Source organism: Homo sapiens, chromosome 2, assembly GCF_000001405.40.
Source record: "Homo sapiens chromosome 2, GRCh38.p14 Primary Assembly".
In the NCBI taxonomy this organism is placed as follows: domain Eukaryota; kingdom Metazoa; phylum Chordata; class Mammalia; order Primates; family Hominidae; genus Homo; species Homo sapiens.
The window spans coordinates 216,634,166-216,660,457 of NC_000002.12; the positions used below are offsets into that span (position 1 = coordinate 216,634,166).

At 48.8% G+C, this 26,292-nt stretch overlaps 1 protein-coding gene across 4 annotated transcripts in view, besides 1 other annotated feature; it reads left to right on the forward strand.

The window, feature by feature from the left end:
* The window catches only part of IGFBP2 (insulin like growth factor binding protein 2), a 31,609-nt gene that overhangs the window by 1,338 nt on the left and 3,979 nt on the right, over positions 1-26,292 (forward strand). Inside the window, exon 1 of one of the 4 annotated variants that reach the window (NM_001313990.2) lies at positions 25,402-25,581. The exons of the other annotated variants lie outside the window; for them this stretch is intronic. Within the exon in view, the coding sequence (NP_001300919.1) occupies positions 25,572-25,581 (10 nt within the window). The 5' untranslated portion in view covers positions 25,402-25,571. Of the gene's footprint in view, positions 1-25,401; positions 25,582-26,292 lie in introns of those variants that run through there. 4 annotated transcript variants of the gene reach the window in all.
* Positions 9,480-10,054: an enhancer, noted in NCBI's record as "H3K4me1 hESC enhancer chr2:217508368-217508942 (GRCh37/hg19 assembly coordinates)". NCBI's record gives its function as "activates a minimal SCP1, AML or CMV promoter by ChIP-STARR-seq in naive H9 embryonic stem cells {active_cell/tissue: H9 hESC(naive)}" and the evidence as "EXISTENCE:reporter gene assay evidence [ECO:0000049][PMID:30033119]".

Below are 26,292 nucleotides of genomic sequence, written 5' to 3' on the forward strand. Positions count from 1 at the left end.
GACTCATTTGGTGGGGATGAATGGGGAGAGGAAAGGCATCCCTGCTGCCATAGTTTTACCCGCGTGGAACGGACCCAGACTTCTATTCTGGAGGAGGGATTTGCTGAGAAGGGGGCCGGTGGTCAGATCCATGGGAGTAGGAACTCGAATCTTATTTGGGGCACTGCTTGAGGACCCAAGGGTCCTGGTGGGATCGCTGCTGGGAGGCGGAGGCTGCGGGGTGCCAGTGACACCAGGAACCTTGGAAGAGGAGAGGGAGCTAGGAGGAGGCACCGGCGTCCCAAGGGGCCCTTCCTTCTACTGGGGTTGTGAGTTGGAAAGAAAGGACTTGGTACTTTGTAGGATGAGTCGCTTAGGAGAAAAATGAAAACCACCACTACTATTTCTCCATAGGGAACGAGCAGGGCTCTTGCTACCACGTTGAATGGAAAAATAAAAGGGAGGCATTTGGTAGGCGAGGGGTCTCCTAGCAGCTGAATCAATGTAACTTAAGCCCGATCGCCGGCTGCATTCCCTGGACGGGGGCAGCCAGGCTGTGCGGTTTCGCATCTGGGCCCCAGATCGAAAGGCAGGAGAGATGCGTTGCCACCCCCCACCCCCGCCCCTATCTTAAATTGAGGGACCCTTTCCTGTAGGATAGAATGAGGACCCGATATTCTTTGTTCAGGGGCCCTCATCCCTCCCAAAAAGTTATTTGAGGGACACAACCAGGCTCTAAGGAGGTTACTTTTTTTTTTTTTTAATTACGAAAGCCTCCTGCCCCAGTGGTCGGGAGGAAGCTGTAATTATTTTCTTTCCTCTTGGAGACAGTGGTGAAATGTGTCCACTGCCTGCTGCTGTTGTTGAAAAAGCAAGTGAGTCTTAAGTTTCTCAAACTTAAAAAGAAAAAGTGAAAAGAAGAATGCTTGCTTTTTAGCTTCTGAGGTCTTCGTAAGCCCCCCACCCCATGCACCAACCCGCCTCCCTTCTCCTGGTCGGCTATTGTTTTTTTCCCTGTTCTCCTTGAGAATGGAATTAGGGGTCAGAGTTGAAATCTTTCTTCTGTTTCTCTAGCACATTTTGCTCTGGAGTACAGAGCAAGTTAGGGCTTCCTCTGAGTGGAGCCTCTCAGTCCCTTTCTTCTCCCTCGGCTCGCTTCCTTCCCTAGCCTGCCTGGAAGTTAACCCTTCCCTCCTGCTTCTCTTAGAAAGTAACAATAAAAGGAAAAAGCCCCCACGAAATCCTTTCACTGCGGGGTGCCTGTCCCCCAGTCATGCGTTCCTCCTCATCACCCCTCGTGGTCCACCGGGGAGGTGCTGTGCAGTTTCTGAGCTGAACTCTGACAAACTAAACATCTTCCTCAGCAGGGTGAACTTTTTGAAAGGCCTCTAAGTTCATAGGATGGTTTGGCTGCTGACTGTTTTAATAAAGTGTGTGATGCCTTTCCTTCTTTAACGTTTTACTTTTTTTTTTTTCCTACTCTTCATTCGTCTTATTCTAAGCCTGAAAACCAATTCTACTTCCCAAATCCCTGAAGCCGGTTAGGGTCTTTAGCCAGGAACAGATGCGGCAGATTTTCTCCCATTCACTTTTCCCTGGAGCCTGAAGGGGGTGGGGGGTAGTTGTCAGGGGAGGCCAGGGACAATGGGGTGAGTTCATGGGAAGAATGTCACTCTGGATTTTCTGCCTGGTTATGGGACTCCCTTCCGCCAGCTTGCCCCAGCTGCGTTCTCCTCCCCAGTGCCCAGACGCCTTCCGCATTTTTGTGCACCGGCCTGGGAAGAGGGGATGTTAAGCAGGGGTGGAAGGTGGGGGGTGGGGCTGGAAGCTGAGTGGGTGCACTCAAAAGAAGTGACCAATGTCAGGGGTGCCTGAGAAAGAGTCGGGCTGGGGGAGGGGAGCACTTTGGGAAGGAGCCTGAGCTTGCAAGGGTGCAGGAGAAAAAGGGGTCAAGGTTGGAGGCTTTTGTGTGGGAGAGGGTCTTAGGCTGGGGCAGAGACTGGAGTCACTGGATGGAGAGTGCTGGGTCCGAGTTGGGTGGGGCCTGGCCCAGACGGAGATCTTAGCACTGAATCCTCTGCCTCCCACTCCATCTCCCGTCCCGTCTTCTCTCCTCTCCGAAGAATGAGCACCCCCCCTCCAGCCTGCATTCCTCTTTGAGCAGGTTGCTTTTGAGAATTTTAAACATACCCTCTTATTTCGAGGCAGCGAACCTCAGCAGTTCCGGCTTTGCTGTTAGCTCTTTTGTCTTTGTTCCCGGGACTCAGGGGCTGTGTTGCTGCTGGCTTCCTGGGGATGGCAAGGATGCAGGGGTGGGGGTGGGCACATCAGTGGGTGGAAGGAGTGGGTGGTGGTGAGCCTGTATCCCACGGGGACGATGGGCTGGGGCTTGTTGGTTCAAAGAAACTGAGAAGTCAGTCTTGGGGGAAGGGGTGGGTAGGCCTAGAAGAAAAACCGAAAGGAGACCCTGAGATCTGCTTGAAGTTGGGACTCTAAAAGCGTGTGTATGTGTTTGGTGGTGGAGTGGATAGAAGTGCCTAGAAATGTCAGGGTCGAGGAGGGAACAGGGTTGGGCCAGTCCAGGCCCTTTCAGAATTAAGGCTGGGCTAGACCGGTTCCTTCAGTATCTCCCCAGCCTCCTTCCCTACCGTGTACAATGCAGGGGATTATGCTGAGGGGCGGGGCCGCCCGAGTGGCCGTTTGGCCCGCTGCACGTATAAAGGTGCTACAGAAATGTGTAGTCGTTCAAAGTCCCAGGGCGGGCAGACAGGCAGGCAGGCAGGCGGGCGGGCGGGCGGGCGGGCGGGCCTGGGGAGGCTCTGCATCTGCAGTTGCCGGGGAAGAATAAAGGGGGGAAGAGGCAAGCACTGATTTACAGTGGTTCAGTGCAGCTTCAAAAAAAAAGGGGGAAAAAGCAATGGGACTTCTGGCTCAGAGTACTGCTTTGCATCTCGTCTTGCATAAATTTGCATACTGAGTTCAAAGTCGTAAAATAGACTAGGGAAATGAGTGGGATCTACTGTCACTGATTGTTAACACCACTACCTTCCACCTCCCCTCCCCCCATCTGGACAGAACTCCCGGCACTAGTTCTGCTAAGCAGCGCTGCCTGAGTCACCAGTCACCACTGTTCATGAAAGAAGGAGATGGGGAAGCGCCTGTCTAGGAGACCAAGCAGGGTGTGGCAGTGTGCACCCTGGCCTCGGAGGCAGGGCCTCTCTGAAGGGTGTGGCCCGACAGATTCTGGACCAGTGAGGCAAGTGGTGTTCTTTCTGACGCCTGGGGCTGCCGTTGCCCATGGTGGGCTGCAGTTTGAGGAAGCTGCAGAATCCGGGTCTTCTTTGTTTGAAATTTCCCTACTCAGCTTCCACATATGTCCAAAACATTTACTGTGATAAGTCCCTTTGTGTGGTGGTAATGACCCACTTCTTTAGACAAGATATTTGAGGAAGGTTCGAGAACAGAAAAATTCTACTTAACAATGTTAAGGAATCTGAGAAAAGTGGGGCACAGGAGTCTCTAGGTTAGAATAGGTGGTAGAGCCTGGAAGGAGAGAAGAACCCATCTGTTGTATTCCCGAGGGTCTGCCCACACAATGGCTCTTGGCCAAGTGGACTGTTGAGCTTCCTGTCAGGCAGAGGGAAGAGGGAGGCTTAGATAGTTCTCACTGTTGGCCTACTTCAGCACTGAGCTTCAAGACTTTCAGGCAAATCATTCCTTCAGGCTCAGAGGCTGGAAATTAGTTCTATAAAAATGCCATGGGGCCGGTCGCATTGGCTCATGCCTGTAATCCCAGCACTTTGGGAGGCCGAGGCAGGTGGATCACAAGGTCAGGAGTTTGGAGACCAGCCTGGCCAGTATAGTGAAACCTCTTCTCTGCTACAAATACAAAAATTAGCTGGGCATGGTGGAGCATGCCTGTAGTCCCAGCTGCTTGGGAGGCTGAGGCAGGAGAATTGCTTGAACCCGGGAGGTGGAGCTTGCAGTGAGCTGGGATTGCATCACTGCTCTCCAGCCCGGGCAACAGAGCAAAAAAACTCCGTCTCAAAAAATAAATAAAATAAAAATGCCACGGGTTGGCCAGGCGCGGTGGCTCACGCCTGTAATTCCAGCACTTAGGGAGGCTGAGGTGGGCAGATCACCTAAGGCCAGGAGTTCAAGACCAGCCTGGCTAACATAGTGAAACCCCATCTCTACTAAAAATGCAAAAATTAGTTGGGCATGGTGGCACCTGCCTGTAGTCCCAGCTGCTCGGGACTCTGAGGTAGGAGAATCGCTTGAACCTGGGAACTGGAGGTTGCAGTGAGCCGAGATGGCGCCACTCCACTCCAGCCTGGGCAACAAGAGTGAAACTCCGTCTCAAAAATAAAATAAAATAAAAATAAAAATAAAAAGCCATGGGTTACCTGAAAGTAGGAGCATATCCATTCACTCATTATCTGACCTTTGAGGGCTGACTTGGAGAGAACTGTTCTCTGGCCCAGTCATCAGGTGGCTTCCAGTTGGTTCTCAGCTGGGCTGTTCACACCCATAGAAAATGGGAGGTACGACTGTTCAATTTCTTTTTTTTTTTGAGACGGAGACTCGCTCTCTTGCCCAGGCTGGAGTGCAGTGGTGCGATCTCGGCTCACTGCAAGCTCCGTCTCCTGGGTTCACGCCATTCTCCTGCCTCAGCCTCCCGAGTAGTTGGGACTACAGGCACCTGCCACCACGCCCGGCTAACTTTTTGTATTTTTTAGTAGAGACGGGGTTTCACAGTGTTAGCCAGGATGGTCTCGATCTCCTGACCTCATGATCCGCCCACCTCGGCCTCCCAAAGTGCTGGGGATTACAGGCATGAGCCACGGTGCCCGACCAGGCTAATTTTTTTTTTTTTTTTTTTTTTTGAGACGGAGTCTTGCTCCGTCGCCCAGGCTGGAGTGCAGTCGCCCAGCCTGGAGTGCAGTGGCGTGATCTTGGCTCACTGCAAGCTCTGCTTCCTGGGTTCACGCCATTGTCCTGCCTCAGCCTCCCGAGTAGTTGGGAATTCACGCATGCACCACCATACACGGTTAATATTTTTGTATTTTTAGTAGAGGCAGGGTTTTACCATGTTGGCCAGGTTGGTCTCAAACTCGTGAACCTCAAGTGATCTGCCCGCCTTGGCCTCCCAAAGTGCTGGGATTACAGGCATGAGCTACCGCACCTGGCCACAACTGTTCGATATTGATATGAGGAAGTTCTGAAAATTCTGCACCAAAGGGAATGGAGAACAGGTAAATACCTATGATGCCTGGCAGGATAGGACAGGGGGCTGCTGAAAGGAATGAAGGAGGAGCAGAACAAAAAGGGGCTGTGAGGCCACATCCACATCTGCTTTTGTTGTTGGTCCTTCCCGCGTACTAGAAGACTGTACCCAAAAGAAAAGAAAAAAGCTTGTTTTTTTTTTGTTTGTTTTTTTGTTTTTACAAAGAGTCTGTGTATCTGGGAATTGTTATTTTTATTTGTATTATTATTTTTATTCATTTATTTATTTCAAGACCGAGTTTTGCTCTGTCACCCAGGCTGGAGTGCAGTGGCGCAATCTCGGTTCACGGCAACCTCTGCCTCCCGAGTTCAAGCAATTCTCCTGCCTCAGCCCCCCAAGTAGCTGGAATTATAGACACCTGCCACCATGCCTGGCTAATTTTTGTATTTTTAGTAGAGACAGGTTTTCACCATGTTGGCCAGGCTGGTCTCGAACTCTGGACCTCAGGTGATCCTCCCGCCTTGGCCTCCCAAAGTGCTGTGAGTACAGGCGTGAACCACTGCACCTGGCCTATTTTAATTTTTTAAGGAACTCTGTATCCAGGGAGTGCATTTCGTCTCAGCCTTTCTCTGTATGTTCCCGACTCCCTCTTCCTCCTCCTGCCTTCTCCATGCTGTCCTCTTTGTCCCTGCAGACCATTCTTTCCTTTCCCACACTTCTCCCTTCCATGCCTTTCCTACTCCGGCTCAGCTAGAACACCTGCTTGCTAGGTAGGTGGGTGGGGCTCAAAAATGGTGTGGAAAATATAGTGGTCTCAGCCTCAGAGATCCATCCAATCAGAGGGATATTATGTAGGTGACTGGAGACTATAATGCTTGAAAAAACTAGAATCCTTAAATGAGGAGGGTGGTTGACTGGGCTTTGAGGGAAAGGACTTCTATAGGCCAGGGAATGGGATTCTCTCCTATAAGAGTTAGCACTAGCGCTGCTTCTGCTGAAACCAAGGCATAGAAGCGGGAGATGATGTTTGAATTCATGAGGGAAGCTGGTAACGTGGTTGGCAGATATTCTAGATCCCTCTGCTTATCCTGTCTCTGGCCAGCAATTCACTGAGATGGCAGGCAGCCGCCAGGAGATTGGTGGTGCTCGCATCTGTCCTCACCCTATTATGAACTGGCTTCTGTGCCTGCTTTGTCTCCTGTCTTCCACCTCCCTGCGAGGGAGGCCGTTCTACCTCCATTTTGCAGGTGTGGACACTGGGTGACTCAGCGATACGAAAATGCTGAGAGGCTAACCTGGGTACCTTCCCACTGCACCCCTCTACCTCCGTGGCCGGGTAAGGAGTTGGGCTGTTGGTAGAGAAAAGCTTTTGACCGTATCAACCAGCAGTTTTGTTCCTGGACAGCTGCCATGTGCAGGTGATGTATGGGGCACAGTAAATTTCTGCCAGATTTCAATTATGTAGATTCCCTTGACTCCATGGACAGTTACAAGTCCTGGAGTTTGGGGACCTCACAGTTGTAAGTAGCCAGCATACAGAGGTCAGTCAAGAGGGACAAGAAGGTCACAGGGTGGGCCTCTTGAGAGAAGAGCTGCTGGGTAGCAGATGATGGTGCAGGCAGCCTGGCCTTTGCTGTCATATTGACCGGGGTTGGTTCCATTGCAACCCTGTCTCTTAATACTTCAGTAGTTAGTAAGGCTCTTCCTCCAATGCCAGTTCCCTGTTGGTAAAATAGCAATGATTTTACCTCTTTCCCAGGGTGCGTGTTGGGGTGGCTGTGATAATGGCAAGTACCTGGCACATAGTATGTTCTTGTACATGTTAGCTGCCTTAATCTTGGCAAGTGACATCTCCTCCTTGACAATTAGCTGGCCTTTAAAATGAAGGCCAAACTGGAAAGGTCAGGCAGGCCACTCCTCTCTGGAGGTTCAAATCCCAGGTGGTCTACCATGTACTAATCACCCAAGGTAAGAGATTTCTTGCTAAGCCTCAGTTTTCTTATTTGCAAATCAGAAATTGATAGTATTTCATTGGGTCAACTACACAGATGTGTGTAAAGATATAAACTATATATAAAACCTAAGCTCTTGCATTTTGGTGATGAGTCACTTGATTTCCATCTCTTCACCTATGAATGGAAATATCCATACCTCTCCAACCTACTTTCACAGGGCTGTAGTGAGGTGGTTTATGGAAAGGGCAATGAAACTGTACTTTAAATGCAATACAAATGCAATTGATAAATGCAATATAAATGCAACTGATAAGTGCATTATAAATGCAGTGCATAAACGGTTGGAGACCATCGGGCTTGCATTTTTTTTTTTTTTTTTTTTAGACAGAGTCTTGCTCTGTCGCCCAGGCTGGAGTGCAGTGGCGCGATCTCAGCTCACTGCAAGCTCCACCTCCTGGGTTCACGCCATTCTCCTGCCTCAGCCTCCCGAGTAGCTGGGACTACAGGCACCCGCCACCACGCCCGGCTAATTTTTTGTATTTTTTAGTAGAGACGGGGTTTCACAGTGTTAGCCAGGATGGTCTCGATCTCCTGACCTCATGATCCGCCTACCTCAGCCTCCCAAAGTGCTGATGATTACAGGCGTGAGCCATGGTGCCCGACCAGGCTTACATTTTTTTTTTTTTTTCGTGAGACGGAGTCTCGCTGTGTCGCCCAGGCTGGAGTTCAGTGGCACGATCTCGGCTCACTGCAAGCTCCATCTCCCGGGTTCATGCCATTCTCCTGCCTCAGCCTCCTGAGTAGCTGGACTATAGGCACTTGCCACCACGCCCAGCTAATTTTTTGCATTTTTAGTAGAGATGGGGTTTCACAGTGTTAGCCAGGATGGTCTCGATCTCTTGACCTCATGATCCGCCCACCTCGGCCTCCCAAAGTGCTGGGATTACAGGTGTGAGCCACCCCGTCTGGCTAGGCTTGCATTTTTTTTTTTTTTTTTTGAGACGGAGTCTTGCTCTGTCACCCAGGCTGGAGTGCAGTGGCGCGATCTCGGCTCACTGCAAGCCCGCCTCCTGGGGTTGATGCCATTTTCCTGCCTCAGCCTCCCCAGCAGCTGGGACTACAGGCGCACGCCGCCACGCTCGGCTAATTTTTTGTATTTTTAGTAGAGACGGGGTTTCACCGTGTTAGCCAGGATGGTCTCGATCTCCTGACCTTGTGATCCGCCCGCCTCGGCCTCCCAAAGTGCTGGGATTGCAGGCGTGAGCTACCACGCCTGGCCTAGGCTTGCATTTTTAATGGATTAGTTGGGCAGTGCTCTTTGGATCCGATGTGCTGATGTCTAGGACTGACTGTTTTTGGTATGGGAGCTTCTGTCTGCAGTGTCTAGAATGGGGGTTGGAGGGACTATGGGGAACAGAGGTGGCCCCAGAGCTTGGACATCTGGGTTCTCATGCTGGCCTTGCTGCTCATAAGCAGGTAACACAGGGTTGAGTTCCTCCTTTGCCTGGCCAGCCAACCTGGAAGACCTAGCCTTCTGGCTGTCAGTGTCCAGAGCTCTGGAGAATCCCTGAGGCTACATCTCTGGGTGGGGGAAGGTCCTCTCTGTATAGATGGCCCTCCAGGGGAAGTCTGCAAGGATCCAGACTTCAGAATAATAGAGTTAAGTATTAACTAATCCAAGTGGTCCTAGCACATTTAGCACATATGGCATGCTCAAGGGTGTGCAATTGTGCAGTCATCAAAGCCAGTGAGGGCACCCGATGCCACCCATTTCCTGCACCAGGAAAATGGACCTTTCACGTCTCTGAACCTGGGATGCCAGAATGCACTGAACTTGATCCTGGCAAATAAATTGGAAGCTGTTTCCAAAAAAGTGATATGTTCTTGCTACATTGTCTCCAGAGTTTACTCCTGAGTTGGGGAGCAGCATCTCATTTTGCAAGGGGCTGTTGGATTCTCCATAGAAACGCTGGGTTGGGGGAGTGTCTTCTGAGTACTGGGGCTCTACCTAATGTCTGATTCCATCTGTGGTACCAAAAAGCCCTCTGAATGGCAGCCTGTCTGTGCACAATGATGCCGAAGACTTTCTTTTCCAGCATCTAATGAGGCATGGCCCCAGGAAAGCAGAGAAGGCGGATGCTTGAGTCTCTGAGGGTCAGAATACGCTTATGGTGAAATCAGAACTGGGGACAAGGCAAAGTACTGCCATTGGGAATCCGGGGTGGATGGTCATGTTAGACCAGGGGTGTCCAATCTTTTGGCTTCCCTGGGCCACTTGGAAGAAGAATTGTCGTGGGTCACACATAAAATACACTAACACTAACCATAGCTGATGAGCTAAAAAAAAAAAAATTGCAAAAAAATCTCATAATGTTTTAAGAAAGTTTACGAAATTGTGTTGGGCCACATTCAAAGCTCTCCTGGGCTGCAGGTTGGACAAGCTTGGCGTAGACTCTTGGAGGGCTTTCATGGTGGAGGCAGGAAAGGAAAAGCCCCTTTTACAGATGGGATAGTAGGTCCAGAGAAATGTGTTGGTTTTCAGTTCCAGAGTAATTTCACCTGCTCCCACCCTCCACACTCACAAAGAGCAGGCTGGGTGGGATGTCGATTTTTTTTTCTTCTGGAGAATGGACCATCTCCCTATGCCTCTCCTCCTCCTTGGCTACTAACCCCTGACTTTTCCCTCCCCCTTCTCTGGCCACTCCTGTTCCTGAACAAAGCCAGGGAAGATCTGGGCTGGCTCAGCCCCTGGGTGTCAGTCAAGACTCAGAGGGAGACTTTGCTCAAAAAGCCAGCCCTCCCGGAAAGAAATACAGAGCAACTGTAGTCAGGAATTTTTCCCTTTCCTTTTTTCTGTGGGCGGGGGGAGGGACACTTGGCAGTCTTTGGGGCCCTTCTGGCTGCCAGCCCCACATCTCTTCCTGGCTGTTGGGAGGCAGGGCAGGAGGGAAGATTGGGGAGAAGGGGGCAGGGGCTGGCAAACACCCAGCTGCTGGGCAGTGGAATTCGTCCATAGGCCCTGGTGGAGTTGGCCTCTAGTGAAGCCTGGGGAGGTTTCTAATTAGTGGAGGACGGTGAAGGTGTGGCAGCCTGTGTTCATTCAAGGAACTGAGCTCTCTGAGCCAGGAAGTCAAAGGGAAGAGGGGGACTGAGTCCCGGAAGGCCTTGGTAGGTGGGGAGGAAGTTGTACCTACTCAGTGTGTTCCATCCTATTAGAAGTTGAGAAGAGGGGGGTGTTTCAGCTGGAGTGATTCAGGTTGGACTCTGGGGGTGCAGAGAGTCAGTCATTGGCACTAAGCAAAGGGAGCCACCTCAAAGAATAAGTGATATAACAGTGATAAACAAAATGGCTTTGTTCTAGACATTGCCTGCTTCTACCAGAAAGCTCATTTTGTTTTTTTTGTTTGTTTTATATTCTTCCCCTCTCCCACTTCCTGCCCCAGCTCTGTTTTAGCCTCGAGATTCTCTCCACTTAACAAATGAAGAAATCAAGGCTACATTCAGGTTCAACTGCCAAGGCAAGCACAGACCAGATTGTAGTCTGGGTCTCTAGATTCTTCCAGCTCTCCATTTCACCAGACTCACACATGCAGAAAAGCAGTGAATTATATACTGCTTCTTGGAAGAGCTCCTTTTCCCTGGGAAGTAGTAATTAAGGCATATCTTCTCAAAAATGTTCCTTTATGCAACTCTCTAGGAAGTTTCTTTTAGGTCTATTGTCTTTACTTCTGGATGGAGGTGCCAAGTTGCCTCTGGGTGGTGAACTTGTTTTCTAAAATGCCCGAGGCCAAGAACAAAATGAAAATGGCAATTCCCTTGTGCCCTGTGCCCTGCCCCGTGACTTCCTGATAATGCTGAGCAGTTGCTATAGCAACAGTGGTGGGAGGTGTGTCAGGCAGGATAAAGGGGGTGGGGGTAGGACAGGTTTACTGGATCAAAGAGGCTTTTGCGGTTGAGTAGGGCTGCTGACATGACTGATAGCCTACTTCTAGGGAAAGATGGGGGTCCCATAGAGATGGGGAGGGGAAGAAATGAAGCCCTGGGGCTAAAAGGTCTTGCTTGAGAGTCTTTCCTTAGGTGATGCCAAGTGACCAGGTGCCATCTGGTTGGTTAACAACCTGGGCTTGGTTTTGGCCACTGGCTACATGACTTTGTGCAGTTGGCCTCCAGCTCTATAGTTCATTTATCAAGTGTGAGGGGGATAAGAAATTACCAACCTCATGTGCCTGCTTGATAACAAAGGTAAACATGCAAGCCACGTAGCACAGAAACTCAGATAATCAAATGAGGTAGTGCAGGTTCTGATTCTTGCAATACAGGAGAACAGGAGAATGGCAGACACCGCTTTTGGACGTTTTCTGATTGGTCATTTCAAGAATCCTGTTAGCAGGTGTGACTTATTCCCTTGAGTGTGGCTTACCTGGACAGCTGCCACTTTGCTTTGGAAAGCCTCCAGTGAGTCCAGAGAGGAGTCAATGGTTGAGAGTTTTCCAGGGGGCAGTCATGACCCTCGATGCCATTGTGCCTGTGGTTCTACCAACAGCTTAATGACCAACCATGTCCCATTTATGCCCCAGAAGTTAGGACTCCCACTTGAGGCTCTGCTGGTTGTCTCTGGTTTGGTTCACTGCCTCTTAAACCTTGAGAGCATAGCCAAGGAAGGTAATTGATGTGATATACTATCAGACAAAATTAGTGAACTTTAGTTGAAGACAGAGAAAAGCATGGTGACCTATTTAAAGACACTTATTTATATTCAAGACACTTCTTGTGCTGGTTTGAGAGTGGCCGGCAATCCTGGACATCTTTGCAGGTTTTAAATTTCTTTTTGCATCCTGTGGGTTCAATTTGTCAGGCCTGGAATATCTGAGAGCAGAGTTATGGGGATGGAGAAGAGGACAGTGGAAGGGGAGGGTGGTGGGAAAGGTTGGTAGGATTCAGCCTTTGTTACACTATGGGAGTGGGGCTGTGGGATTGCATCATCGAAACTGAATTGTTTGAATGTGGGTCTTAGGACAGGCATGTGTCCTTCCCATCCCATCTCATGGTTCCACTTGCTCACTGCCTTTCTTGACTTGCTCACTGCCTTTCTTGACTCTTAACCACTCTTGCTGATACGGGCTCTAGATGAGGCAAAGGCCAGAAGAATGAGAAAAAGAGTTAATGTAACAGGGTACTCTTGGGCAAGTGCTAGATGCTCTTTGATAGTGTATTAGTCTGTTTTCACGCTGCTGATAAAGACATACCCAAGACTGGGTAATTTACAAAAGAAAGAGGTTTAATAGACTCACAGTTCCATGTGGCTGGGGAGGCCTCACAATCATGGTGGGAGGTGAAGGCACGTCTCACATGGTGGCAGACAAGAGAGCTTGTGCAGGGAAACTCCCCTTTATAAAACCATCAGATCTCATGAGACTTGTTCACTATCACGAGAACAGCATGGGAAAGACCTACCCCGATGATTCAATTACCTCCCACTGGGTCCCTCCTACAACATGTAGGAATTGTGGGAGCTACAATTCATGGTGAGATTTGGGTGGGGACACAGCCAAACCATATCAGATGGTCACCTTTTCTAATGTGTAAACATTAATTGAGCACATGCTGTGTGTCAGCTAGGAGACCATATGAAAAAGCAGTTGTCATACCACCTGTAACACATGCTTTTTCATGCTGGAGGGGGACAAGAAAAGCATTTTAGAAAGGTGAATAAAGAAGAAACCAAGGCAGCAGAGATGTATATACATCCTATGCAAATAAACAGGTAGCTCTTGGTCACTAAAAGAGCTTAACCAAGTCTCTTGGGAAGAGCTTGATGTTAAATAATGAAGTCCCTTCATGGTAAATAAAGTTATGAAAGTAAGAGAATCAAGTTGGACAGGCTTCTACTTCTTCAGTCTTGGAAGAAAAAAAAAAGCAGTGTCTTCCTTCCTAAAATGTTAATTGAGGACACAGAATGTCTTCTCACCTGTCCTTCATTCACTAAGTATGGAAAGCTGTACGGAAGCTAAGACCAAGTTTATGTCTTCAGGAAGCTTCTGTCCTTAGGAGGACTAAGAAAATGCACAGACCTACAGCTTTTTGGCAATGGACTCAGGCTAGAGTGCTGTGAAGAAAGTTGGGTCAAATTACCAGAAGACTTTACCCAGCAGTGCTTTTCTTTTTTAAAATTTTGTAAAATTTTTATTTATTTATTTATTTTATTTATTTTGAGACAGAGTCCCCCTGTTATGCCCAGGCTGGAGTGCAGTGGCGTGATCTCGGCTTACCGCAAGCTCCGCCTCCCGGGTTTGCACCATTCTCCTGCCTCAGCCTCCTGAGTAGCTGGGACTACAGGCGCCCACCACCACGCCTGGCTAATTTTTTGTATTTTTTAGTAGAGACGGGGTTTCACCATGTTAGCCAGGATGGTCTCGATTTGCTGACCTCGTGATCTGCCCGCCTTGGCCTCCCAAAGTGCTGGGATTACAGGGGTGAGCCACTGCGCCCGGCCCTTATTTATTTGTTTTTTTGAGACAAGCTCTGGCTCTGTCACCTAGGCTGGAATGCAATTGCACGATCTCAGCTCACTGCAACCTCCACCTCCCGGGCTCAAGCCATCCTCCCAGCTATGGCAGTGCTTTTCATCAATGCAATCAAGTGACCTTTGGACACTTGGAGGCCATATTGTTCATCCTTCTTCCTTCTCAAAAGGTTTCTCCTAAGTTATACCAGAGGGAGTCTGTGCAATTTCTTCCCATCTGCAATTTATCAGATTTGTTTTGTTCTTTCTTATGAAATTCTTGGATGGCTTCTAACTTGGATCTCTCCTGTTTTAGTTTAAGGCTGTTTTCTCTCTGGTCCTTGGGGAGACAGAACGGCTCCTTCCCTTCCCTTGGGTTTTCCTGGCCCTTGGACACCTCCACCACTCAGCACCCTCTGGCAGCACCAGGATGGATTTGTCCCTTGGCTTTCAGTTCTCAGGCCTGAGTCATCTTGATTACTTCATCTTCCCCTTCTTAATTCTGTGACCCTCTTCTACTACCTTTGGGTCTTCTTTCTGACTCATTTCCGAGTTCTTCATGGCATAGAGAACAGGCCAGGAGCCCAGGGCTAGGTTCTGACTGGTGGACAAGTGACCCTGGTAACATCATTGCCCTGGCCAGTGAGAGTGGTGGTGAAGTCCGCCATGTCACTATCGTTTGGTCCTCTTCCAGTAGGGCTTCAGGGACACTTGAGGTTACTGATAGCTCTGCTTGATGAGGAAGATGAGGGGTGGTTGGTGTGAGAGGTGACTTTTTTGTTTTTGTTTTTATTTTTGAGACAGAGCCTCTCACTCTGTCACCCAGGCTGGAGTCAGTGGCGCGATCTTGGCTCACTGCAACCTTCGCCTCCCGGGTTCAAGCGATTCTTCTGCCTCAGCCTCCTGAGTAGCTGGGATTACAGGCATGCACCACCATGCCTGGCTAATTTTTGTATTTTTACTAGAGACGGGGTTTCACCATATTGGCCAGGCTGGTCTCGAACTCCTGACCTCGTGATCCACCTGTCTTGGCCTCCCAAAGTGCTGGGATTACAGGCATGAGCCACCGCGCCCAGCCCTGAGAGGTGACTTTTTTAAAAGAATATTTAAAAAATGCAGAAAAGTACAAAGAACAATGTAATAACACAAGTCTACCACCCAGAACCGTGGGCGGTTGATATTTTGTCCACTAGCACGCAGTACTTACTTAGTGTTTATCTTTCTTAGCTAAGCAGACTTGCATATATGTGATAGATGACTAATATGCCTATGTTTGCATATATTGCATCTATATGCATATATATGATAGATGACCAATATTGTCCAAATTGTTTTGTGAAAATAAATTGAAAATGCACATAAAGGTTTTATTTTCCCTCTTAACATTAGGTGTCTGAGATCTAATGTTGACATCCATAGGTCAGAAATATTCTTTTTAACTGCTATATATTGTTCCTTTGTATTACCCTACTGGTTTTATTTATCCATTCACCTGTTGAAACACTTTTGGATCTGGTTGCTAATAGTGTTTTTACAACTACAAGTAATGCTGTAATGACCATTTTTGTACATGTGTCCCTGTGCACATGTAGAGAGAAGAATTGCTGGGTCAGGCACATTCTTCCCATTCCCATAGTCCCTGGTTCAAGTTTGAATCAAAGCACAGTCTACTCACTTGGGCCTCAGCAACTAGGTCACCTTGCCAGGTTCCTGGATGGCTTTAGTTGAACCCAAGGAGAAATGTTTGGGACCCGTGGAAAGGAGTGAAAGCTGATAGTGCTGTTTGCCATCTTGATATCAGTTTCTCTGGCTCTTCAAGGACAGCTTGGCTCACGGGGCCCCAGAGGACCTTGGCTGAATTTGAGCATGTTTTTGTTTTCTCAAACTGTCTGCCTCAGCCCTGACCCTCCCCAGGTCTTTGCAATTCCAGGAATGACCCTGATGTTTATAAAGGAGCCCTTTGGAGAGTGCACAGGCAGGGAGGCTCTGGAGAGGCTGTGCTGTTTCTGTTCACTCGGGGGGAGCCCGAGATGAGATGGCAGCATGAGGGCATACTCTAGAAACCTCCATGACGCCAGGCCAGGAGAGGCCCCTCTGCATGTATCCAAGCAAGCATATGTGTCTGTTTACAAACCCATGAGTGGATGAGCTTACAAGGCTGTGTCTCTGCAAAGCTTATACCCGAGACCACCTCTCTTGAAAAGAAGAGGCATTGTTCTCGCCTCACCAGGAAGTTCTTCAGGAAACAGACAGAACAGAGAGAATCACAAAGGCATGGGGGCCTGGCAATGCCAGAGCTTGAGAGGAGAGGTATCATTCAACATACAGATTCCTTAGTCCTTGCCTCTGACTTTCTGGGGCTGGGGTCCAGGGCTCTTATTTTTAGCAAGCTCATCAGATGATTTCTGATGAAGAGCTATGTTTGGGAACTTCTGACTGGGTCTAATTCCCTGAATTTACAGATGAGTACACTGACACCTGCGCAAGTTGAACACCCTGCTTAGCGTCACTCAGAATCCCAGGGGTGGTGGTGAAGTCAGGATCGAACCTCAGTCCTTCCTCCCACACTGGGACTGCTTGGCCAAGGCTTCGAACCCAAAAGCTGGTGCTCCAAAGGAAATCCAAAAAGAGTTTGCAGAGTGGTTTGACGTGGAGGGGATTCATCGGCCAGGTGGGGGCTCTCTGCCCTCCCTTGGTGGTGCATCATCTCCTGTAGGTGTTTTGTCACCGTGGAAGGGCAGTAGCCTGTGCCTGTTGGGCTTGCCACTCAACAGAGGTCACTGAGCTCTTCCGCACTCAGCTGGGTGATTGGCCTGTGGTAGCTGCAGGTGGAGGGAGATGATTCTCAGAAGAGAAAGGCCAGTTCTTGCAGTCGTGTGATCTTATAACCTAGGGGACTTGTGGATCTGAAACATCTGAGAAGGCTGTTTGCAGTTATTTACTACCACAAAGGAAACTGGGAGAGGAGGGACCACCTGTTGGAAAACCATGCTCAGAAGTGACTGGTCTGTTGCTGAAGGATGGAAGGATATCAGGTGTTGCATGGCTGGCTCCCTTGCAGGAAGGAAGGGCTCAGGGGGTGAGAAGGAATAGGAAGGGAGTTTACAATGAATGAAGCTGGGTGTCCTCAGGAGATAGATGGACCAGTTGGGGTGATGTCATTAACTAAGCTGGAATGTGTCCTGAGTGCCAGCCTATACCGCGACAGACATCTGTGCACACTATTCAGAATTCCAGTGTGAGAGGCCACTGCCCCCTCTGACCTTTTGAAAAAAAAAGTCAGGGGAAGACACATAAACAGTGTCACTCACCCACAAAGTCTCAGGACCTCAGGTTAAACTTTAGCTAAAGAAGTAACAAATAGAACCCCCATTTTACCTTCCTCTTTCCTAACTTCTGCCTCCCTCCCTCCCACCAGCATGGCCTGAATTACTAATCCCAGCCTGTTGGTGGGCTGTGCTATTGAACATAGTGGCCACATGCTAGATGGAGTTTGGTGACCACCATCAGCCATCCAAAGAGGACTGGCTTCAAATTCTCTCCAACAAAAGCTGTTTCTTGTATGTGCTGGCGTGTTTATGAGCCCTGTCTCAACTGAGCATGCGTGGTGATTATGAGCTACTGCCTGACCTCCTTCCCTTTGTCCCTCCCGCTAAATTCTGTAAACAAAGTTAAAGTAATTTAGGCAAATTCATTCTTGCTTAAGGACTTCTATTAAATGGCAGAGAGCTTTGATATTTAGCAATGTATAAAATTTGTACAATCAAAACCAAGCTTTAGAAGAAATATGCAATAGATCATATTGCAGAACTCTCATGACTCATTTTTTCCATGCATTTGGCCATTCTACAAATCAGACATTACCTAGCCTTCCCCTCACATGGCAGATATAACTTTTATTTACCCATTCAAGAAATTGATTGTTCACACATTCCTTTTTCTTTGAAACAAGGTCTTGCTTTGTCGCCCAGGCTGGAGTGTAGTGGTGTAATCTTGGCTCACTGCAAGAAGTGAACTCCGCCTGCTGGGTTCAAGCGATTCTTGTGCCTCAGCCTCTCAAGTAGCTGGGACCTCAGGCATGTGCCACCATGCCCAGCTAATTTTTGTATTTTTGGTAGAGACAGGTTTTTGCTATGTTGGCCAGGCTGGTCTTGAACTCCTGGCCTCAAATGACCCGCCCACCTCAGCCTCCCAAAGTGCTGGGATTACAGGCATGAGCCACCATGCCTGGCCACCACACATTTTTTTCTAAAGCTTGGTTTTGGCCACAGTGAGAGTTTCTTGGGCTGTCAGGGGTAAAAATACCATGTCTTGTTTAACAGCAGCCATCATTTTAGCAGAATTTTTTTTTTTTTTTTTTTTGAGACTGAGCTTTGCTCTTGTTGCCCAGGCTGGAGCGCAATGGCGCGATCTTGGCTCACTGCAACCTCCGCTTCCCGGGTTCAAGTGATTCTCCTGCCTCAGCCTCCTGAGTAGCTGAGATTACAGGCATGCGCCACCATGCCTGGCTAATTTTTATGTATTTTTAGTAGAGACGGTGTTACTCCATGTTGGTCAGACTGGTCTCGAACTCCTGACCTCAGGTGATCTGCCCGCCTCGGCCTCCCAAAATGCTGGGATTACAGGCGTGAGCCACCGCGCCCCGCCCCTTAGCAGAATTGTTAATATCATTTTTCAGACTTGAGAAATTAGAGCTCAGAGAGGTTAAAGGTTCTGACTCGTGAGTGAATCTCAAAGGGCAAAGCTGGCATTCAGGGTTCTTGACTGCTGGGTTCATTGCTCATTCCAGTTTGTTAATGAATCGTCCACTGCTATGGATATTAATGGAGTCGTCTAGAGAGCAGGGGGAGGAGGATGGTGGTTAGTATTTATTCTGTTGCCCAACATATGTCAAGGCTAAGTGCCTTTTGGGAGAAATTAACAAAGACGGAGCCATGTGAGTTTTCTGCCCAGCTAGGGTGGAACCAGGAAGCTGCGGCCAGCCTTCATTCCCCTGGCCCATTACTCAGAATTAACTCTTGAAAGGCTTGGAATGCTATTACCTGTTGCAAGAGGTGAGTTCATTGGAGGAATGATAAGTTCAGGGTTGGCTTAGATCATCTCTGTGGTACTCCTCTTTCCCAACCCTGCTCTTAGATTTTAAGATAATCATGAGATAGGAGGAGAAGGCTGGAAAATGGTAAGTCTTTCTTCAGAATAAAGAAAAGAAGAAAGAAGAGAGACACATGAGCTGTTAGGAAGATGTGATTGTTCTAGGTAGGGAAAAGGTCTTATTTCCTCACCAGGTCTGGATAAGGACCGGGGCCACACACTCTGAGGAGGAAGGACCAGGGAGGTGCTTTTAGATTCTTGGGGCTTAGTTTCCTAAGAAAGCTTTTTAAGGTCTCTCTTAGATCAGGAATCACCAATTTCCAAATAGAGCACTGAGGTCAGAACATTGTGCTAGGAGAAAATGAGATTTTGTGGGAGTCCGTTTCTATCAAACACAAGAGTTTGATTTGTTGAGTAAGATCATTGATGCAACAAACAGGATTACATTGGAAAAATGAGCTGTGCCAAAATTAGGTCTGAAAACCTGGGTATGAATGCATAGAAGTGAACAATAAAGGCTCTTTCTCTTGGGCTGTCAGCTTCCAGCTGCTCTCCTTGGCTAAATTAGTAAGGGTGGGCCAAAAGACAATGTAGGGACCCCATGATAATTGTGAAGAATGGCAGAGAGGTTGTTTGCTCCTGTGAATTCAAATGGTAGTCCATCTGGGCTCAGGTTTGCCATCTGTAAAATGGGACAACGATCCATTTCTTTTCATCCCATCTGCCTTCCTCATCTCCAGCTCTCCTCTAGGGGTCTTAGGTAGAAAGGTGTGGCAGTCTACCCAAGGCAGGGGTGGGAGTTCTCCCCTGCCCTTCAAGCCCCCGACTAATGGCTCTGGGGTTGTCTGTCATCTCCCTGACTTCTCTTTGGAAAAGCTTGACCTTCTATATGTGAAATCCCTTGCTTCTGTGTTGACCCATTTCCCTAGGTGCTATGTAGGGAAGAAGAGCTAATGCTTACTAATCTACAGGGAAAGTCTCTTCAGGGGCCTTGGAGGTTTCTATCAACCATTTCTAAGCCCATGAGCCTTTTCCATTGATGTCATTTGGGGTTGCTAAGAACCATTTCTTATAGTGACCTTTGCACCATAGCCCATGGAGTTGCATACATAAGTGGTTGCTTAATAAATATTATTCTGAACTTAACTCTCTTAGGCAGAAAAAAAATACAACTTGGTATTTTTGTTCTGAGGGCAAATTCCATCTCTAGCTGGAGTTCGACATCTGGAATGTTTTCCTGTGGATTGTTCTTGCAGCCTATAAGAGGATATATGGGAAGAACTTGGTAACATGTGATAATGCCCTTGTCTGACTGAGGGGAGGAGGGGCGCTATGTGGGTACTTCCTGGTAGGCAGGAAATGGAAGTGGCTAAGAGCTAACCCCATGTGTGCCTACTGTGTGCCAGGCCCTCTCTGTAGATGCAGGCAGCATCTCTTTGGATCCTCCCAGTTGCCCATAGGAGGTGCATACTGTTTGTCCTTTTACAGATGAACAATGGAAGCACAGAGAGCTTAAGAAAGTTGTCTGGTGCTGCACAGCTCAGTAGTAAAAGCTTGAATTCCAACTCAGGCAGTTAGATTTTGGGGTTTGAATCTCTTTGGCTGGGAACAGTAACAAGGAATGCAGGCTTTTCTCAGCCTACAATGCTTTCTGATCTCTGCCTGGTCAACTCTTTCATTTCCCTTCCCTGGGCTTCTACTTCAAGATGTGGAGTTCAGATCTGGCTACGGGATTTGAGTCCAGAAGCCTCTTCCTGAGAAAGAAACAGATGCTGATGCATGGTCTTGTTAAACCATCTTTAAAAGACCTTGCATCAGCAAACCAGGCCTGTGGATTTCTTCATCTTATTGGCATGTTCGTTGGCACTGCTGAGATCAATAAAGAAATGGAATGAAACATACCCTTGAATCCAGGTGGCCTCTGTGAGGGTGGACAAACTTGACCTTCACCTCAGAGAGTTTGGGACATCTCAGGGCAGGAAATCAACTTTGTCCTCCTGGAGGAACACTGCCAAGTTGACCCCAGCCTCCTGGGACCTGGAGCCAGGGTTGCATATGACATCTGTGGGCCCTGGACACTGCCTCTGTGGGCCCTTCTATAAAAACATATATTTTTAAAATTTAAAAATTATTATTTTTCGTTTTTGAGACAGGGGCTCACTCTGTCACCCAGGCTGGAGTGCAGTGGCATGATCATGGCTCACTGCAGCCTCTAACCCCTGGGCTCAAGTAATTTCCCACCTCAGCCTCCCAGGTAGCTGGGACCACAGGTGTGCATCACCATGCCTGGCTATTTTTTTATTTTTAGCAGAGACAAGGTGATATAGTTAGGCTTTGTGTCGCCACCCAAATGTCATCTTGAATTGTAATCCCCATAATCCCCAGGTGTTGATGGAGAGATCAGGTGGAGGTAACTGAATCATGGGGGTGGGTCCCCCATGTTGTTCTCGTGATAGCGAGTGAGTTCTCCTGAGATCTGATGGTTTTATAAGGAGCTCTTCCCCGCTTCACCTGGCACTTCTTCCTGCCACCTTGTGAAGAAGGTGCCTTGCTTCCCGGACCTTTGGCTTCTACCACGATTGTGAGTTTCCTGAGGCCTCCCCGCCATGCTGAACTGTGAGTCAATTAAAGCTCTTTCCTTTATAAATTACCCAGTCTCAGGCAGTTTTTTATAGCAGTGTGAAAATGGACTAATACAGTCAGGCGTGGTGGCTCATGCCTATAATCCCAGCACTTTGGGAGACCGAGGTGGGCCTCCTGTGGCAAGGAGTTCAAGACCAGCCTGGCCAACATGGTGAAATCCTGTCTGTACTAAAAATACAAATATTAACCAGGCGTGGTGACACATGCCTGTAGTTCCAGCTACTCGAGAAGCTGAGGCAGGAGAATTGCTCAAACCCAGGAGGCGGAGGTTGCAGTGAGCCAAGATCGTGCCACTGTACTCCAGCCTGGGTGACAGAGCGATACTCTGTCTCAAAAAAACAAAAAAAAAAAATCAAAAAACCATATTTTATAACTTGTTTAATAAATGCAAATGTATTAATATTATATAGTAAGACTTTTTAACCTAAAAGTTATTTTTTTTTTCTGATGTTAATAGAAATAAAAATATGTCCTAGGCACTGTGCCTCCAGAGCCCAATGGACAAGTTGGCCCTGCCTGGCGCCTTCAGGCCCGAATGCACATTTATCTGTGTGTGCCCCTCTCCTTTTTCAAATGTGTTTCCAGAGATTGCAGAGGGCCTTCTTCTGAGGATTAATGTTGGATTGACCTCTGGGACGCAGCCAAGGGATGGTTCTTTGGCCACTGTCTGTGGTACAAGAGGGCTTCGTGAAGATGGGGAGCTGCAGGCTGAAAGTCCTCTAGGAAGCCCAGGGAAGATCCTGTGCCCTGCCCCCAAGAAACTGTGGACTATTGTGGCTGCAGATGGAAGGGTAGCGGAGGGGTCTTAGCCGTGGATGCGGAATATAGTGGAGCTAGATTTGCTTTATATGGGGCCTGGAGCCATTTCAGCAATGGGCTATCAGCTTACAGGTCTTGGGCTAAAAGCCTGACTCCAGAAGAGTGATTCTCACCCTGGGCAGTTTTGCCTCTCCGGGGCCATTTGGCAACGAATGAAGACACATTTTTTGTTGTTCCAACCTGGGGAGGGTGCTACTGGTTTCTGGTGGGTAGAGGCCAGGAATGCTGCCCAACATCTGGAGTACACTGGATGTTCCAGGCATTGAGTTCGGGTGAGCGGCTCCTTCCCAGAAGCTCATGGATAGAGGTACACATGAGCTGCCTTTCCCGTCTCCAACCAGACAACGTGTTGTTATAGCCATAATAGAGACTGTCTGCCTTCACCCAAGCCACTTCCCAAGAGGGCAGAGCCAGGTGAGCCTCTGAGCATCACAGACTTCATGTCCACAGATTGGAGAGTTCCAGAAATGGTGGCAGGGTGCAGTACCAGCAGACTCCCAGAGCTCCTGTCTTCTCTAACACCCTGTGAGCAGAATGCGGTGTCGAGGTCTCCAGAAACCCTTCCTGCCTCTGTGGGCACAAAGCTGGGTAGGGTGCGGTAAGCAGGGTGATGCCAAGGGTGATCTCAGGTACCAAGGGTTCGGGTGAGGGCGAACTGGAGGTTCCCACTTCATTTTGTCTTTCTCATTTTGATCCTGAGTAGCTGGGAGGGAGTCAAAGGGCTCTTCTCTATGTTCCAATGCAGGTGGTGGGAGTGGGGAGACTTTCTAGCTACTTTGCTCTCCTCCTGTGTTTTTGGTGTCTGCAGAGGGCAGGGGCAGGGAGCTTGAGATGGTCCCACTCAGGTCTGGGGACAGAGAGGCCTGTCTGGGAAGGGCAGCGGGGCGGAGGCAGGGAGGCTGGGGATGAGTGCGTGCGCTGCACGGCATCTGTGTGCTGCGTTAGAGGTCAGTGTTGAGATGGAAAGTTGACTGAACCTGATCTCTTCTGTTTGTTGTCCAGGTTTGTCTGATCTCAGACTTTCCCCGGCCTTTCTCTTTCACCCTTTTGTTTCTGACCTCTGGGGTCCATCTGAAGAGGGAAGGGGGGCTCTTCTAGGAGGGTGTGGACCTGGTGGCGCTGAAGAAATCTGCCGCACGGTGGGGTGACTCAGCGTCCCTGTTCTTGGGAACCTGGCAGGCAGCTGAGCAGGGGCACTCACTCAGCCTGCCTCTCTGGGTCCCTGGGTGTCTGCTGCTCTCCATGTGGAGGAGCACAGAGGGCAGGGCAGGATGGATGAGGAAAGCTGTGGGCTGGTGCCTGGGTCTGATTAGACATGGTGGAGCAGGACTCCAACCTAGCCTGGAGGCGCACGCTAAATCGGCCTTTTCCTGCCGGTGGTGCTGGGCTGCCGGGCTGCTGGAACAATTTAATCTGTGCTGGCTTCATTTATGGTACAACCCAGGCTCCCCAGAGCCCCTGTGGGAATAACCATTCTAAATAAAATATTTTTCCAGGTTTCAGGTTTATACATTTAACATTTAAATTTTTTTTTTCCTGGAGTTCAACAATTTTGGATAAAAGTCTTTTAAAATGATGAATAGGTAGAATTTTAATTCCCTCCCCTTTTTGATGTCCCAAGATCATCGTCATCAACGTAATTCTTGTTTTGGGCTGTAAGACATGGAAATCCCCAGGGTTCATTGAGGGGCATTCATTGTTTGCCACACACAAAATGTACCCGGAGTTTGTATGTTTTGTTTTCTTAGTGTCCTCTTTCCTCTCTGCCATTTGATCCTTCTTGCTACTGTCCACATGCATTCCTTCTTTGTCCCTTCAATTTTGTTGACTTTCTTCTGCGGTGGCCTTGGAAACCAGACATCCAGAAGCCAGGCTTCCTGGAGCAGCACTGTTGTGAACTGTCTCGAGGCTCCTCACGAGATGATTCTCCCCTCATCTTGAGTGGAAAGTGCCAACATTTGAACATGCTCAGCCGTGGTAACAGCTATTAGGATGTTCAGAGCTTATTTTCCTTGGTTTCCCTGTTCTCGGTTGGGTTCCATGCTGCTGAAGTAGTAGATAACTGGGGCATTCGTCATTGTCATCATCATCAGTGTAATAACCAGCAGCAACATGGATATAGAATTTCTGTGCTCCAGGTCGTCTTTTATTTATTTATTTATTTATTTATTTATTTATTTATTTTTGAGGCAGTGTCTTGCTCTGTCGCCCAGGCTGGAGTACAATGGTGCGATCTCAGCTCACTGCAACCTCCACCTCCTGGGTTCAAGCAATTGTCCTGTGTCACCCTTCTGAGTAGCTGGGATTACAGGTGTGTGCCACCACACCCGGCTAATTTTTTTGTATTTTTAGCAGAGATGGGGTTTCACCATGTTGGCCAGGCTGGTCTTGAATTCCTGACCTCAAGTGATCCACATGCCTCAGCCTCCCAAAGTGCTGGGATTATAGGCATGAGCCACCACACCCGGCCTAAGTCATCTTTTAACTGCTTTTCTTTCGTCATACTCTCAACAGCTCTATGAAGAAAGAACTGTTATTATCCAGCAACTTACAGTTAAGAAAGTAGAGGCACAGAGAGGGTCTGTGTGGGGAGAACACGTGCAGCTGATATAGAAAATGGCAGAGCTGGACTTTAACCCGGCTACACCCCTTTAACCAGAGCTGCTACCCTGGGGACGGCGTGCTGGCTTCTAAAGGAAGCTGCTGCATGGCAAGTGAAGAGTGACTAGTTCTCAGGCTTGGAGGGAGGGGAAAGGACAGGGACAGACCCCCATCAAATGTTCCGTATGCTGGGGCCTATGCTGGGCACGCCTTGACAGCAGGTGCTGCTGGAGTGCCAGCACCCGGTGCTGTCCCTGGCATGGAAGAGGTGCCCCCTCCCTTAGTTGGTGAGTGAGTGAATACTCTTGTATAGAGTTACTCTAAGAATTATTCATTTGTGTTCTAAGGGCTGTAAGTTTTTGAAGGTGCATTAATGGGGAAGAAAAAATGTGCAAGATTGGTTGAAAAACACCCCTCTGCACCCACCCAGATCTTGTTGGGACCTGCAGGAGAGCAGCTCTGGGTGGGAGGGTCTGGGGCTGTTTGCCGTGTCTCCAAGGGGTTGGGGCTGGGGCTCGGCGGTGTGAGGCCCTGCCCTTCTGGAGCTTGCTGGGGCTTGTCTCCTGGTTACAGCTCTGCCGTGCGATTCAGATCCTCTCTGCCTCCTTTGGCTGGACGTGCCTCAGCCAGAGTGAGACTGTGGCAGGCTGGAGCTGTTTTCAAGGCCTCCTTCACCTAGGCTGTGCATACAAAAGGTTGAAGAAAGTATAAGGAGACTTAATGGACGCTTGTTGGACAGACATCACGAAGCTTCATGCCCTGCAGTAAGCTGAAGCTATGAAGTCGAAGGAGTCATAGTTCCTGTTCTTGGGGCTCTCAGTATAATGGGGTTGGGGTGGGCTGCACAGACAGACTTGGGAACGAGGGAATGTCAGTGTGGCAGAGCTGTAGCTGCCTCGGAGCAGCACTATGGGACCTTAGGCAGGGCCAGGTGGGCAGGTACACAGTGACAGCAGGGGGATGCTGGGACCAGGTTCTGGGTGGCGACGTGGCCTTCCACCTTCTCACTCCTTTGCCATATATGCTGCAGCCCGGTGATGTCTGTGGCACGAGTTTTAAAAAACTCAACTAATTGGTGCTCTTCCAGACCACAAATGAAGAACTTTAAACTGGGGGTTATAGTGGGAGAATTTGGGGGGGTCCCAGAAAGGACTTAAACCCATTCCATGGTCAGGGCCTTTCAAATGCATTCATCCCTCTGTGTGCCTCTGTTCTGCCCCAGCCTTGTAAGAGGGTCCCTGTCATTCTTCTAGAGCCAGACAGCCTGATTTCAAATCCTGAATCCATCGCTTTTCAGATTTGTGATCTTGGTCAAGTAACTGACCTCTGTGAGCCTCAAATTCTCCATCTCTGAAAGTTGGGGAGGGTGCTAGTAGTACCCACCTAAGAGTTAGGGTGAAGCTGAAATTGATCATCCATATAAATTGCTCAGCACGGGCCCTGACAGGCCATCAGCACTCATTAGCCGCGCGTCA